Here is a 16,054-nt window from a genome sequence, read left to right as displayed (position 1 = left end):
ACTTACACTTGGAAATTATATTTCTAACATCAGTACATGGTTGACTTTTTGGTACTTTCTATGGTGCTACCAATTAATGTCAGGAAATATAAATAGTAAGCTCAAACAACAATTACTTCTCTTTCCAATCTCTCTCTCTCCTTTTTTTTTTTTTGTACCTCTCTCAATCTTTCTCTGATGATAAGTGGCATTTAATCTACTAGGGCTGCCTGAACAAACCACACAATCTCTAAGCTCTCAGTAGCCAACAGCTAAATCTAAAAACAGGTGATTAAGCTGCTGGACTTAGAATTTAAAGTATAATTAAGAGTTTATAAGACTTGGATGCCAATAAGGACTCAATCTCATGATTTTCTTTTTAATAAATAAGAGTTTACAAGACTTGGATGTTAATAATGACTCAATCTCATGATTTTCTTTTTAAGGTCACTGTTCATATGGGGATAGAAGGCTGGGATTTTAACATAATGCTCCATACCAAGATTTTGTGCCCCAATTCTTCCACCATCAGGGACTGTTGTTTCTTGGTACTGGAGGTGGTGTTTCAAATGATTACCAGGCAGTTAACAAGGAAACCCAGGTGCCTGATGTTTTATTCCAGCCTGTCTGACTCATTGCTCTGTGAGTGTTAAATGTCAGGCAACAAGAGAGCTGGTGACATCTTATGGAAAGCACAGATATGGAAGTCAGGGACTGATTTATACACTGGGTCTTGCCACTCATGATTTCTTGGATTCCAGTTTTATAATTTCACATCACTGAATAACAGTAGGGAGAGGCTTCTTCCTGAAGAACACTTCTTATCATGAATCAGCCATGTGGCCCAGGTTGAACTTCTTTGCTGGTAAATTGAGACTCTTGGCAGGAAAGTTAGGGGAGGGGAATACCTGCACTCTGGATGTGTGTTGAGGGGATGCCTTCAGTGCCTACCTTATGACAGACACCAAACATCAGTGGGTAGGAATCCTCACATCTCAAGACTTTGGGATTAAGCAGAATTTTCACTGGGGGACAGGGCCCAGATATACCTCCTGAGGTGTCAGAGAAGGTCAGGTGGATGGGTCAATGGGTGAATGGGTCTCCACAACCCTTCCCTCCTTGACAAGCACAGTTCAGTCACTCTAAGAACACACTAGCATTTCAACCCTGGCTGTTGCCACCACTGTCTATTAATGCACTTCATCTGTGTTGGTTCTTGGACTTTCCAAACAATCTGAGACCAACTAACAAGCTGCCTATGAAGGGATTTCCAGGGTAAACAAGAAAAGCTATTTGTACTTCATTAGTTACCTTTACTGGTATGAATAACCATATGGCCTTCTCGAGAGTTTCTGCCTCTGACCTAGAGATTTGTGTCTGTCCTACTATTTTATTTGCCTGTACTAAACCAAAAGTGAGATCAAGCCAGATATTGGCAGATAGATTTGAAGAACCACCTCCCATTTCTAATGATAACACCCCCTGTCGGATCTGGAAAGAATGTCTCTTTATTTCCATCATCTGGGCATCTTTTATATTCTAAGTCAGTAAACTAAATATACTTCACCAAAATGGGCTGAAAGAAATGACAGCAGCACACAAGCTACGAAGGCCCAGCATGTCCTGAGAGGGCATATGTTCAAATTAGCCATCTTTTACAGATGAGGGACCTGAGGCTCAGATCATCATGGCTAAGCATGTTCCTACAATGCACTTGGTTATAATTTCTTATTAAAAAAAAAACCCAACAGTTATGTTGGAATAGTTGAAAAAAATGTCACAACATGTGAAAATACTACAGATAGAATATATGATCATCACGAGACCTCAGTGAGATTATTTTCACTATTTTATTGTTAAGGATTGGATTCCAATCTTGGCTCTCATACTTATGCACCTTGAGTCGTTGTTCAAATCACTAACTTCTCCGGGATTCAGTATGAGGAGGTTAGACCATATTATATCTAAAGTTTCTCCCTGGGCTAAAATCATGTGATTTGAGAGTATCATATAGCATAATGTCTGTGAAAAGCATTGTGAATTATAAAGCAATATTCAAATATTGGTTGGTGTTGTTATCTCTCCATGTTCCCATCACAATGTAACCTCAAATGCCTTCAATAGAACATCATTTGTCTGAGTTTAAGTTTGGGGCACAAGCAGGGAATTAGATTATTCAGCAGAAATAATGAACCTGAAAATACCCTTATTGAGTGAGGAAAGACACATTTTCACAGTGTAGTTAGGACAAAACAATACTAGTGTTTATTTTTATAGGTAATTCATTTGCTGAGCAATCCTATAGAAACGTTTGGGTATATTTTATTCTCCATTGGCTATGATGGCATTAAGTCCAACTACATAATATTATTCTCAGAAATGAAACCAGATATCTGAATACTAAAATGAAATGGAGAAGAAAGAAATAAAGCTGAAATATAAATTGATTGGTCAAAAATTCTTTATTTTAAAATAATTTCACATGTAAGTAGAATTAGAGTAATTGTTGATTTACTTACTGTGAAATTAAAAATATACTATGATATATTCTACTTACATTTGTAAAGTAACAAAACTCAGATGATACCTATTTAAGCTGTTGGTTGGATAATCTGTATTGAGAAAGCCGGACATGGTTTGCTTTTGCTGGCTTTTTGCTAGTGCAGACCTTAGGGTGGCTCATGGGAAGTAGCCTGACAATAGCATAGTTGTGGAAACTTGTTCAGCTTTGAAACAAGTCTTTGTGATCTTTGCTTCAATATGGAATGCACTGGTTCTGAGAGGTATGTTTAATCCCTTTTTCAAAAGACAATGTGGATGGTTCAACTCATGTTCCCTGTATAAGGATCCTAATTTAAATACAGCCACAGAAGCACTATGAATTCTTTCTGAGATGAGAAGGGATATAAACAAACCCAAAGACCAAGGAAATACATAGTTTTGTTGATTCTTACACTTTACATATGGTTTCCATTCCTTGCTTCAAAATACATTCGCTGAAATTATGAATGCACTCTAGTGCGGAAACATTGATTGAATTCCATGTTAGTTCAGGGTAGCAAGCCAATCAGGAAGTAGCATTATGGAGACTATTAATAACCTCAAATAGTGAGTCAAATTTGGCCCACAGTAGTAAGTCCTTAGAAAGTTAAATGCTGATGGAACCAGTGGAAATAAACAACCATCTTCCTCTGATTAGTAGATGTTAAGAAAACAAAAGGCAGTGCTGACAAAAATAGTGATTATATTGATTAGGTTGGGGCTCACATCCTTTACCCAGATGAATTCTGTTGGCCAACCTATACCTTCTTAAGGAATCGCAACATGAAATAAAGACAAGGTATGAGTCATAGTCCTGCGTGGTGTTGAAGAAACTGGCTTTTAAGTCATGATTCATGAGGACTTTACCTTTGGGAATTAAGAAGTCTTTCTTCTTCTCTAAAAGTTAAAGAAAGAGAAACTTTGATTCTTAATTGTTGTGATCCCATGGAACAACAAAACAAGTGCTTTCACGTTATTTTGATCATTTATATTTTGAATTATATTAAATACATGATTAAACTTCATATTCTATTTGTTTTAAATCTAAAGGAGTTAATTGTCTAGTAGTTCTGGCCTTGAGCTAGAAATTAGAAGTCCAGAAAGACTCATTTATTTGATTTTTAAATTAGCTGCCTTTGCTAAAAAGCCTAGGATAGAAGCACTAAGGCATCATTAAATATAAAAAATATTTAGGCCAAGAGATGACAGTAGTAATACAAACAAGAAACCAGGGCAGTTGAAAAACAGCCCTCAGATAATGGTGCCTCATTAGTATATTGGAACAGTCAGGATTTTAAATAACGGTCTAAAACAGAAACTGGGCCACTTGATTGAGACTGGGGTGAGGGTTATAAAGACAAGGTCCTACCACAAGAAAAACATTTTTGAGGCAAAAACTTTGTCTCTATTTCTTTGTGTTATAGACAAAAAATAACAGGTGGCAGAGTGCCACAACAAATCTCTACTGTGGAGAAGATAGTAGAGAAAAATCTGATCTCTGAGGTTGCCAGGATTGCAACTACAGCAGCTCTTAAATAAATCCAAAAAAGCACTGCATGTGTGGAGAGAATATTTGGCGTTCTTTGGTTGAATACCCAACATCTAATTTCAATAGTACTTCAGTTTCTTTCAAGGGTGTTACCTTTCCCTTATTCTGCATTTTTTGTGCGTGTGCAAGGTTAATTCCTTCTGCATGCCTCCATTTATAGAGCTGAGAGGTCCACAGCATTTTTCTCTTCATTCTGATGTTTCAATGGAATGAACTTATGACCTAATCTAGACTGACTGGGGGCTTTCTTTTAGGACGTTGAAACTTGAAAGTGTGAAGCAAGGGCGGAAGAAGAAATAGCTGAATAGAATTCTTTATGGTGGCAAGTATGGAGTAATAACCATATACATTTTGGTATGAGACAATTGTATGCTTCTGGGTCTTAGCCTTCTGATGTTCCTTTACTATCTGGGTCTCCTACTTCCATCAATTTTGTGAGGCCCTGAATTCTTTCCAATAACTTCCCTTTTGCTTAAGTGTCCATTTCTGTTACTTCCACCGTGGAACCACAGCTGTTCCACCATGGATGTTAAATATAGCCAGATTGCAGGAATAAATCTCTTCAATGAGCTCTAAGTTTCCTTGCAGAGTGGGGGTTGTTTGAAAGCTCACAGAGATATTTTAAGAGTGAAAGCACTTTGAAAGGAGATGCATAATATTAGTATTCATATACCTTAGATGTCTGATAATAATTCTTCTCAGGGATGAATGGCTCCTGGAAAATTTAAGACCTACTGAAATGCTACATAACCTAGACCTTGCAGGGTTGATAATAGAAACCACTTTTGTACCCACAGAAGAAAACTCGTAATTGTATGCAGAAACACACTGTGGTCTTGCTTTTATTATTAAATAGGAAATCTTACTGATCCTTGTTCATAGCATTTATGTGGTTAAATATCTACATAAAAGTAGTTAGTAAAATATAATGAATTAGTAACATACATTCAAAATTGGAAGAGACTAGAAATCACGCAGTCCAGTTCATTTCCTGATGCTCAGATCCCTTCTATAACACACCCTGAACAGCTGTGTTGTTGAAATCCCTTCTATAACACACCCTGAACAGCTGTGTTGTTGAGTGAACACCTTTAGTTATTGAGTGTTCACTACCTCGCTAGGCAGCCTACTCTGTTGCTGAATAACTATGCTTATTTACAATATTTTTCTTGACTTTGTACCCAAATATATTTTTCTTTAAATTGTATGTTTTTAGTAATCACAAAATTGGTCCCTGGTGATACAAAGAATAAATTTACTTCAAATATTTGCTTATAATTTCTTAAATTCTTTTTCTTTCTATATCTGTTCCGCTAATTAAAGATGAAAAATGAGGCAACACAGATGATATGATCTTTTATACAGAAAATCCTAAAGAAGCCACCAAAAATAACTGATGGTAGTAAACAAGTTCAGCAAAGTTGCAGGATACAAAGTCAATATACAAAAATTAATTGTATTTCCATACGATATAAATGAACAATTTGAAGATGAAGTTAAGAAAACAATTTCGTTTACAGCAGCATTGAAAGGAATAAAATACTAAGGATAGATTTTATCCTTATAAGAAGGGCAAATCTTATACACTGAAAATTAAAAATATTGTTGACAGAAAAAAGAATATCTAAATATCTCTATGTAGTCTTCTGACACCTCATTTTCATGAATCAAAAGATTTAATGTTATTAAGATGACAATATGACCCAAATTGATCCACAGATTTAACAAAATCCCTATTAAAATGATATCTAGCTCTTTGCAGAACTTGTCGATCTAATCCTGAAATTTATTTGAAAATGCTAGGAACCCAGGATAGTCAAAACAGTCTTGAAAAAGAACAAAGTTGGAAGACGCACAGTTCCTGATATAAAAACGTACTACAAACCTGCAGTAATCAAGACAGTGTGTTATTGGCATAAGAACAGACTAATAGGTTAATGTAATAAAATTGGAAGTCCAGAAATAAATCTTTACATTTATGGCCAATCAATTTTCAACAAGAGTGCCAACAGAATTCAACAGAGGAAAAGAACAGTCTTTTTAATGAGCAGTGGTGGTGCCAATGTATATTCACATACAAGAGAATAAAACTGGACCACTGTCTCACAGCACATACAAAAATTACAAAAAAAAAAAACCCTCAAAAAAGGGTCCTACACCTAAAAGTAATTTTTTAAATTGTTTTTTTATTTTTATTTTTTATTTTTTTAGTCCGAGTCTTACTCTGTCGCTCAGGCTGCAGTGCAGTGGCGCGATCTCGGCTCAATGCAACCTCCGCCCCAGGTTCAAGCGATTGTCCTGCCTCAGCCTCCCGAGTAGCTGGGACTACAGGCATGTGCCACCCTGCCCGGCTAATTTTTTGTAGTTTTAGTAGAGACAAGGTTTCACTGTGTTAGCCGGGATGGTATCTATCTCCTGACCTCTTGATCCGCCCACCTCGGCCTCCCAAAGTGCTGGGATTACAGGCGTGAGCCACTGCGCCCAGCCCTAAATGTAAAATTTAAAATTATAGCAATGACTCACGCCTGTAATCCTAGCAGTTTGGGAGGCTATGGCGGGTGTACGGCTTGAGCCCAGGAGTTTGAGACCAGCCTGGGCAGCATGGCGAAACCCCGTCTCTACAGAAAAACAAACAAAGATTACCCGGGCGTGGTGGTGCACACCGGTAGTCCCTGCTACTCAGGAGGCTGAGGTGGGAGGATTGCTTGAGGCCAGAACGTGGAGGTTGCAATGAGCCAAGATGGTGCTACTGTACTCCAGGCTGCGTGACAGAGCCAGATGCTGTCTCAAAAAAAAAAAAATAATAATAACAATAAAATAAAAATTAAAAAAATTTAAAATTATAAAGGTCTAAGGAGAAACATTGGATTAAATCTTTATGATCTTAGGTTGGGTGATGGTTACTTAGATATGACACCAAAAGCATGTGTGAAAAAAGTGAAAATAGATACACTGGACTTCAAATTTAACACTTTTTTTTTTTGCTGTAAATGATAGTATCAAGAAAATGAAAGGTCAAGTATAGAAGGAAAGGAAATATAAGAGACTTATATTCACAGTATGTAAAGAACTCTTAGAACTCAAAAATGAAAACACAAATAACCAAATTTCAAAAATGGGAAAAGCATTTGAATAGCCATTCCTCCACAGAAGATATACAAATGGCCAATAAGCACATGAAAAGTGCCCACTAGCCTTTAGGGAAATGTGACTCAAAACCACAAGATACCACTTTACATCCACTAAGATGGTTATAGTCAAACAATATCAAGCATTAGAGAGAATGTGGAGAAATTGCAACCCTCATATATTGCTTGTGGGAGTATAAATTATTGCAACTTTTTTGGAAAACTATTTAGCAGGTCCTCAAAATGTTAAACATGGGGATATCATATGACTCAACAATTTCATTCTTAGGTGTGTATCCAAGCTAAATAACAAAACATATGTCCACACAACAATGTGTACATGAATATTCATAGCAATATTATTCACAACAGACAAGAAGTGAAAACAACCCAGTGCTTATCCACTGATGAATAGATAAATAAAATGTTATATTCACGTAATGAAATATTATTTGTCCACAAAAAAGAATGAAAATATTTGTACACTTGTGTTCAGAGCAGCATTATTTTTAATGGCCAAACAACAAGCCAAATGCCCATCAAGAGATGAATGGATAAATATAATGTGGTATGTACATTTAATGACATATTATTCAGCTTTTAAAAGCAATGAAATTCTGATAAATGCTACAACATAGATGGACCTTGGAAACCATGTGCTGAATGAAAGAAGCCAGACACAAAAGACCACATATATATCATTCCATTTATATGAAATGTTCAGAATAGCTAAATCTATGGATACAGAAACAAAGTTAGTGGTTTCTTGGGGGAGCTTGGGGGAAATGGGGAGTGGCTGCTAATCAGTGTGGGGTTTCTTTCAAGGGTGATTAAAAATGTTTCAAGATTAGATATTGGGGTTTTACTACCCTGGGAATATATCAAAAAGCGTTGACTCGTACACTTTAACTGGGTGAATTTGAAGGTATGTGAATTTTATCTCAATGAGGCAATTTAAAATAAGTTAAAACAACAAACAAACAAAAAATGGGCAAGACCAAGTATAAATCTTTTGACAGTTTAGATATTCCTTTTCTGTTATTCTCCATCTCCATCACCCTGTGTGATTTTTTTGTAGCAGCATTCAAAAATTTTGTAATTCTACCATTTGCTTCCTTATTATTGCCTGTTTTGTTTACTAGCTTTTGAGTTTCTTGAGGGCAGGAATTATTTCTAGCTTGTTTACCACTGTATCCTCAGCACTTAATATAGTGCCGGACCCATAGATATTCAATAAACATTTGTTATTGTTGGTGGGCAAGTTGAAAGTCACTTCTAAGCTGAAACGAATACGTTAGTTGACTCATGCGGTAATGTCCAAATGGTTAAGTTTTCATCGAGTAATCTAAGCTGCTCTATATTGCTCATGAAAATATTTTGGACCACATAAACAGTCATGTAGAAATCTAATACTTAATATCCATGGTATTGCACTGGAACATTAACAAAATGGAATTAGTTGAGTTGGCATAATGTTCTTGATGAACCTGAAACAGCACAGGAGTTTCACATGATGGAGACGAGTTTATCAAGAGTTCAAGAAACTCAAGGACCGTGTATCAGCAAAAAGCTTTACACGTAATTCTCGTGCCAATGATTCCCAAAACATTGACATTCCAATAATGATGATATTACAGCATTCTTCAGTTTACAAAGATCTTTCACATGTATTTTCATTTGGCCAATAGCCAAGCGAATATAAGTCCCTCCCAAAATCTAGACAATAGCCTGGGGTCCTCCTGCTAGTAAAGATTCTAGTTACCTAATCACTGTGTATAAAAAAGGACAATGCTATCAGATGTCAGTAATAGGAACCCTGGAGTCACTGACCATCTTTTAAATTCTTCAGGGACACTTACAAATCCTGCAGGGAAACTCCGTGCTTCATTCATCCAGAATCTTGCTCTCTGTTATCTTACTTTCTGGCTTCCCTGCATGGTATCCTTTAATAGATATCACCTATCCATGATCCCCCTCTCTCAAAACATTTTCTTAGGATCCATGGGCTAATCACTATTCCCTGCTAACAAAGCTATCACCAGGTAGTTTCCTTATCATCTCCACTTTCCTAAAGTCCATTGTGGACTCATCATTGTTGTGATGACCATTTCCTAGTGGTGGGAACTTTGATCTTTCTATTTGGGTCTTTTTAAAAACCATCTAAAGATATATGTGGTCTTATTTCCTAGTCAAACAGTGATTATCTTTGATCCAAATCAGTCATTACAATTTTTTCTTTATACTAAATGTTAATATTGATAATTATTAAGAAAAGAGAAAAGAGGATTGGAAATAGGAAGTAAATGAATACTGGAACAAAGATAAAATTTTTCTTTGCTGTCTTAGTTGGGAGAAGGCCAAAATGAAGCCAATATTGCTTTATATTCCTGCCTCTTAATAAAGAGGAATTTTTGCTTTCTGCTTTGGGGACTAATCATTTAATTTTAAGCATGTCATTGCTTTTATAATAGGTACAAACATTAAAATATTGCCATTTAGAATAAGTAAGTGAAAATGATTACTCGACCCTAACCTTTAAATGGGACAGAACAAATATTTCTCACTCTCAAGACCATTTGATTGACTTGGTAAATGTTTCCTAAGCCTGTGGCTTAACAAGAACAGATTTTATTTTTTTAAATAAAGAACTTCACAGAAACCTACAAGATTTATCTAAGTATTCTCTTCCATATAAGTAAATGCCCAAGCTCTATAACTGAAACAGATTTATTGCCCCTCCCTCAAAATTATTTTAAAAATTAAAGAAGTGCTTTGAATCCCATGGGAAGGGAAGGCAGGGGATCAGATTTGAATTTCTTCACCAGTTGCCCTTTAGATGATCATTACTTGCTTGTGTTTTGGAGGAAAAATGTAAGATGAGTTAGAATGATTTCTCCTTGATCATGAACTTAAGACAGTATAAAAAAATAAAACTTTAACCTAGATTTTCTTTCCCAAACACACAAAAATCAAGTTATTTTCCCATTACAGAATGACTGTTATGTGAACAGGAATCAATGAAAACTCCTGCTGAACAGAATTATTTGTTGGGTAGAATTTGCTGTTAAAAAATTCAACAAAGCAATGTTCTTTGCATCATTCCTTTAGATGTGAAAATTGCTTTGTTGTATAGAATGCTTCTCTGCAACGGTTTTTGACTCTACTAGCACTTCAAGATTCTATTATTCGGTATGTTGTTTCATGGTATTAAGATCTCTTCCTTCCTAGAGAAAATGTTAACAAGGTTGAAATTAATGTAAGCTGATCTTTGACTTCCAATATTTCAAGGGATCTGATGATTTTAGGGCGTGATTTTGGTGCATTACTATTTCTTCTCTTGGCTTGATTATTGTATAGTACTTTGGATATTGTTCAGTCTTTTCTTTCATAGTAAATAAAATGATTTAAACTGTGGAAATGAACACTGGATTTGGCATTAAATGAAGAGAAGTTGAACACTACCTCTGGCACTTACTAATTGTTTGAGCTTGAAAAATCCACTCAAATTCTCTGTATTCTGATTTCCTCAAGCAGAATATGGAGATAGATTGTAGTCCCTGAAATGCAATAATGCAAGTGAAATGTCTAGAAACTAGAAAGCACAAACAAGTATTATGTAGCTTTATTACTGTGAACTAGTTAACCTCCAAAGGTTCATTTTTCAGTTAGTTATTTATTAACGGCAGAACTGTTATTTATTAATATTTATTATTTTATTGAAAACGTACTATACGGAAGAGATTCTCAAATTTATTCAGATGGTGGCACACATGAATGGCATGGTGCTCTTCACAGAACACCATGAAATACTGACATATTTAATTTCATCACAGGAAGTAGTAACATTCAACTAATCAAAAATATGCATTAAGCCTATGGATATAATGTCAAATCATAACCAAGAGCACACACATCCATGAAAATAGTTTTTCAATTTATATCTTAGATTCCCTGTTCATTCATCATTGGTAATTTTTCTGTCATCTGTTAGGCTTACTTGCAGATAAGAAGCAATAGTTGGCAAAGATTTAAGAAATATTAATGAGGAAAATTCTATTTTTTCCCCTTTTTCCTTTTTTTGTAGAGACAGGGTCTCACTATGTTGCCCAGACTGGTCTCAAACCCCTAGGCTCAAGCAAACCTTCCATCTCGGCCTCTCAAAGTGCTGGGATTACAGGGATGAACCACCATACCTGGCCCAGAAATTTTTAAATTGGTAATATATTCCAAGAGTATAGATTCAACTCCTCTCTCCCTCAACTCTTCACTGTAATTGAGACAGGACTAACTCATGAATCTTCAGAGTTGTGTGGGAGCAGAGATTGAGGATCACCATCATAAAGAATGATTGTGTACCCAGGCCAGCCCACAAACATCTAATTAATCCATAATGTGGCTGTTCTAAAGATTATCTATTTATCTATTGAGATAGAGGTAGAGATAGGGACAGAAATAAAATTGGGGCTTGTGGGACAAATGTCCCAGACTCTGCCCAAATCTCTTTTGAGACTATATTTTGCAACTACAGACTGCACAGACATAATAAATACCCAATACATATGTGTTGGATAAATTAATGAAAGTATAAAGGAATAAAATGGGATTAGGGCCAGGAACAAGACTTTACAGAAGGGAGAGAAAATTAGAGATAGTGGATAAATTAGTAAAAATATATTCTGATGTAGGTATAAAGCCCTTCCCATGTCTTTTGAGCTTTATCTACATTTTCATGCTCGCTATGCAGGAGAGGAGGATTTCAATGAATAAATACAGGGTTCATTGGTAGAGACAGTGTACTTTGAAAAAGTGAGGGGCCATGTAAGAGAGGAAAGAACTGAGTGGATGCCCCTGGAGGGAGGCTCTCTTACATGCCCACTGAGAAGATGGGGATGACTGGTACAGCTGGGATGCATGGGAGATTGTGAGGTTGGACCAGCCCTGGGCTCCTGCTCTTTCAAGAGCAGTGAGAAAGCATGAAAGCAAGTGTCCAGGGCCTCTCACAGCATATGAAGCTAAACAAGCCCTGATGTGTTTTGGATCTCTGTCCCCACTCAAATCTTATGTTTAATTTAATCCTCAGTGTTGGAGGTGGGGCTTGGTGGGAGGTGATTGGATCCTGGGGTGCGGTTTCTCATGGTTTAACAACATGCGCTTTGGTGCTGTCATCAGGATAGTGAGTTCTCCTGGGATCTGGTTGTTTAAAGGTGTGTGGCACCTCCCCCCTTTCTCTCTGTCCTATTCTGGCCATGTAAGGCAAGCCTGCTTCCTCTTCACCTTCTGCCAGGATTGTAAGTTTCCTGAGGCCTCCTCAGAAGTTGAGCAGATGCCAGCACCATGCTTCGTGTACAACCTGCAGATCAATGAACCAATTAAATCTTTTCTTTATAAATCACGTAGTCTCAGGTATTTCTTTATAGCAGTGTGAGAACAGACTAATACAAGCCCCAATAGTCTTTTGTGCCCTAATGTGACTCACCAACCACTTTGTTTGTTTTTTTCTCCATCTGGCAACAGGAACTTGGCAATCCCATGGATCCCATGAATCCTTTGGTTCTGAAGTATAGAAATGTTTTGGCTCCTTGGGGCCATACCAATAGGGGCTGGCTAACAAAGATGGCAGTAACAGCACAGGTCATTTATAAACTCAGTGTTTTTAGATTAGAAAAATGCTGTTTTTGAAATGTCGATGAAGGTAAGTTCTAATCATCTTTATGGGTGCTTTTAGGATTAAAGAAAAGCAGCTTATGGATTCTTCCTTTACATAATAATGAAAAACACTGAGGCTGAAAGCCCTAAGAAAGCTTCTATTGTTGCTTATGTTAGAAAGAAATAGTCTTACTACTCCAGCGAAGACTTGTTTAATGTAAAAAATGCACTGTTTCTCTTCTTCTCTCTTTCCCTATTATCTCACCTAACCTTATCTACATAATCTCAGAAATGTATACTATTGCCCAAAATCTCTTGGCTATTTGGCCAAATAATTCCCTGAACTAGAAGAGTCAGGCTTAAAAACATGTCCTTGATTTAGGAAAATTTGATAATCTGTCTTGCATCTTCTACTGACACATGCTGATTAATTACTAAATCAGAAGTGAGAAGTTAAATTGTTTTCCTTGGAAACATCTCTGTTTCTATGGCTTGTGCATGAAATTTTCATCAGGCTTTTACCTTCTTCTCCTCCTGACCATAATGCATCATGGCATAAAGCACCTTATGCTCACTCAAAGATCACCAAACTCGGGGTCAGGGGACTGAATTCTGATACAGACATGACCCCATTGGATAAGTAACCCTACTTCTGTGGACTTTTATTTCCTCATCTTTAAAATAAGAGAATGAGATGTAGGGAATACTGTCATACTCTGAGCCAGAACTATGCTCCATCTTCCATAGGCACCAGGGTCCTGGACCTGGCAGAGCTCAGCTACCCTCCTCTCTATTGTGCTTAGAAGCTGATGTGTATGTATAGATGCCCTAATTTCCCTAAAGAATTGGCAATGCATGTGTTATTCATGAATAAATTAATAAAGACAGTAGGGATTTTCACGCTCAGTGCAAGATGGCTCATTATGCTGGCAATGTCAAATTTGCCAAAAAAACAAAAACAGAAACAGCTTCCCTCAGGTAGTGCTGAAAGAAGGACAAAAAATAAAGATAGCAACTTAGTTATGGGCAAATATACCTCATGGAAATTGTGCAGGACAGAGTGGCATCATAGCCATGACATGGTATAATGATGAAAGATAAATGGTCTGATGTGTTGCCCCCAGCCCCTCTCAACCTATTTAGGGGCACTCAGGAGGGTGGCTGGCTCCCATGATTATCTGCATATCCATGATTATCTGGAAACCAAAGGAAATTAAGAAAAGCAGATTTTTTTAAAAATTTTTTTTTGAGACAGAGTCTTGCTGTGTCACCCAGGCTGGAGTGCAATGGCGCAATCTTAGCTCACTGCAACCTCCGCCTCCCAGGTTCAAGTGATTCTCCTGCCTCAACCTCCCGAGTAGCTGGGATTACAGGCACCCGCCACCATGCCCAGCTAGTTTTTGTATTTTTTAGTAGAGACAGGGTTTCACCATGTTGGTCAGGCTGATCTCGAACTCCTGACCTCGACTCCTCGTAGCCATAGCTGACCAAAATCCTTAGAAAGGTGTACTTAATGTGTTATGAGATGAGAATAGTCACTAAATTGGATAGTAAGTCTATCCATTTTCCCTTTCCTTCTCTCTTTCTGTCTCTTTGAGCCCTTTCCTTCCTCCTTCATTCATCTTTTCTCTCCCTCCTTCCCTTTCTTCCACAAATATTTATTTAAAGTCTACTATGTGTCTAAAAGTGTTTTGGTGCTGAGAAAGGAGACCAACACAATCCTATCCTTATGAAACCTGATGGCTAGGATGAGTGTTTTAAAGAAGTGCAGTGTAACTGGCATATCCCGAGGAGGTTAACCTAGGCTGGAGTGTCAAGGAGGATTTCCCAGAGGACAGTAGTGTTAAAGATGGAAACGCTGAGTAACCTGTGTGGACCGAGGAGTGGAGGGCTGAGAAAGGGTGGGAGAGGAACTTTCCATGAGACATAAAAGTGTGCACAAAGAATCGAAGACAGGGAAATGTAAGCTTTAAAAACAAACAAAACAAAACAAACATCATTCTCATCAACCACAACAAAAACAGTAGAGTGTAAGGCAGAGATTGAGGGAAAGTGATGCAAGAGGAAAGATGATGCTAGTGGACATTATCACTTACCTGGGAATAAAATTTAAGTCGTTATAATTAGTAATCACTGAGAATCAATTTAACCCAAGAGTCATATAACTATTTTAGGAGAATGAGAGATAATTGGAGAACTAGGAAGAGGGCAAGAGAGAATTTAATAGGTAACATATAAAACTGGAAAAATAGCTGTGTGATTGTGTTATTTGAAAGTTTTGAGATACAGATTTTTAAAAAATAGCTAAAGGAGATGATAGTGAATGTCAACAAAGAGGAGTGGGGAAAAAAGAGGTGATTTTTTTTTCCTCTGCCGTAAACCCGGTATAATTTAACTTTAGAAATAATGTGCATGTTTTATTTTTGCTTTAAAAAATAATGCTTAAAAAAGCAAAGACAAATGCAGTGGTATGCACTATTTTCTTTTACTGGAATATTCTGGAGAAGCACAAATCAGTAACTTTATCTGACAATCTGGGTTTCAATAATTAAATTCTTCAGTGCAGGAAATAGCTTCTATTTCAGAAGGGCAAGCATGGTAACCAGTGAGCTGCAGTCCTCCTGCAAAATAGTCGCAAAACTTGCCAGAGGTCTCATGAACACCTGCCAGTCAAACCCTGGAGTGTGGTCCTCTTCCCTGGCCAGCCCTCATCTCTTCTTCCTTGCCTTTTGACCCCGACACATGGGAATTTAGTCCAATTCTTCCCTCACTGCTTCCACCTACTTCTCCAGATCAGCAGCCCCCACTGCCCTGTGGCTGTTAGAACGATGGAAAACCTTTCCAGCTTCTGGCCTCCCTGCTGTTTCTGAAGTAAGCAAGCAACCTCTTTTGGCGTCTTGGACTTTTTATATCTCCCTTCTTCAGATAGCAGATGGGGAGTGACAAAAATAACCAATGTTAGGGAAATGACTGGGCTCTAAGCATCTCTCAGAGTAAGTTCTAGCCCAAGTGGTCATGGTGTTCACTAAACAGCAACAGAGCCTAGTTTGATCTTCTCCTACTGCTTCTTAGCTTCCTGTTCTGAGGAGGTCTTAGGGCTGCCTGCTCTGTAAAAAGGTGGATCCATGTAATTATCAGTTTTATCACGAAACAATCAGACTCATCATTCAACACATACTGTTATTCATGTGGTTCTATGGGCACTAGCCTC

General features: G+C 37.3%; 1 long non-coding RNA gene across 1 annotated transcript in view; it reads right to left on the bottom strand.

Annotated features, from left to right (window-relative positions):
- The window catches only part of LOC105373907 (uncharacterized), a 40,025-nt gene that overhangs the window by 2,145 nt on the left and 21,826 nt on the right, over positions 1 to 16,054 (bottom strand). Inside the window, exon 4 of the long non-coding RNA NR_187973.1 lies at positions 10,673 to 10,754. This is a non-coding gene — a long non-coding RNA (uncharacterized LOC105373907). The remainder of the gene's footprint in view (positions 1 to 10,672; positions 10,755 to 16,054) is intronic.

Source organism: Homo sapiens, chromosome 2 (genome assembly GCF_000001405.40).
Source record: "Homo sapiens chromosome 2, GRCh38.p14 Primary Assembly".
In the NCBI taxonomy this organism is placed as follows: Eukaryota; Metazoa; Chordata; class Mammalia; order Primates; family Hominidae; genus Homo; species Homo sapiens.
The sequence above is the reverse complement of the archived record's forward strand: the minus strand, read 5'-3'. Positions and strand labels throughout refer to the sequence as shown.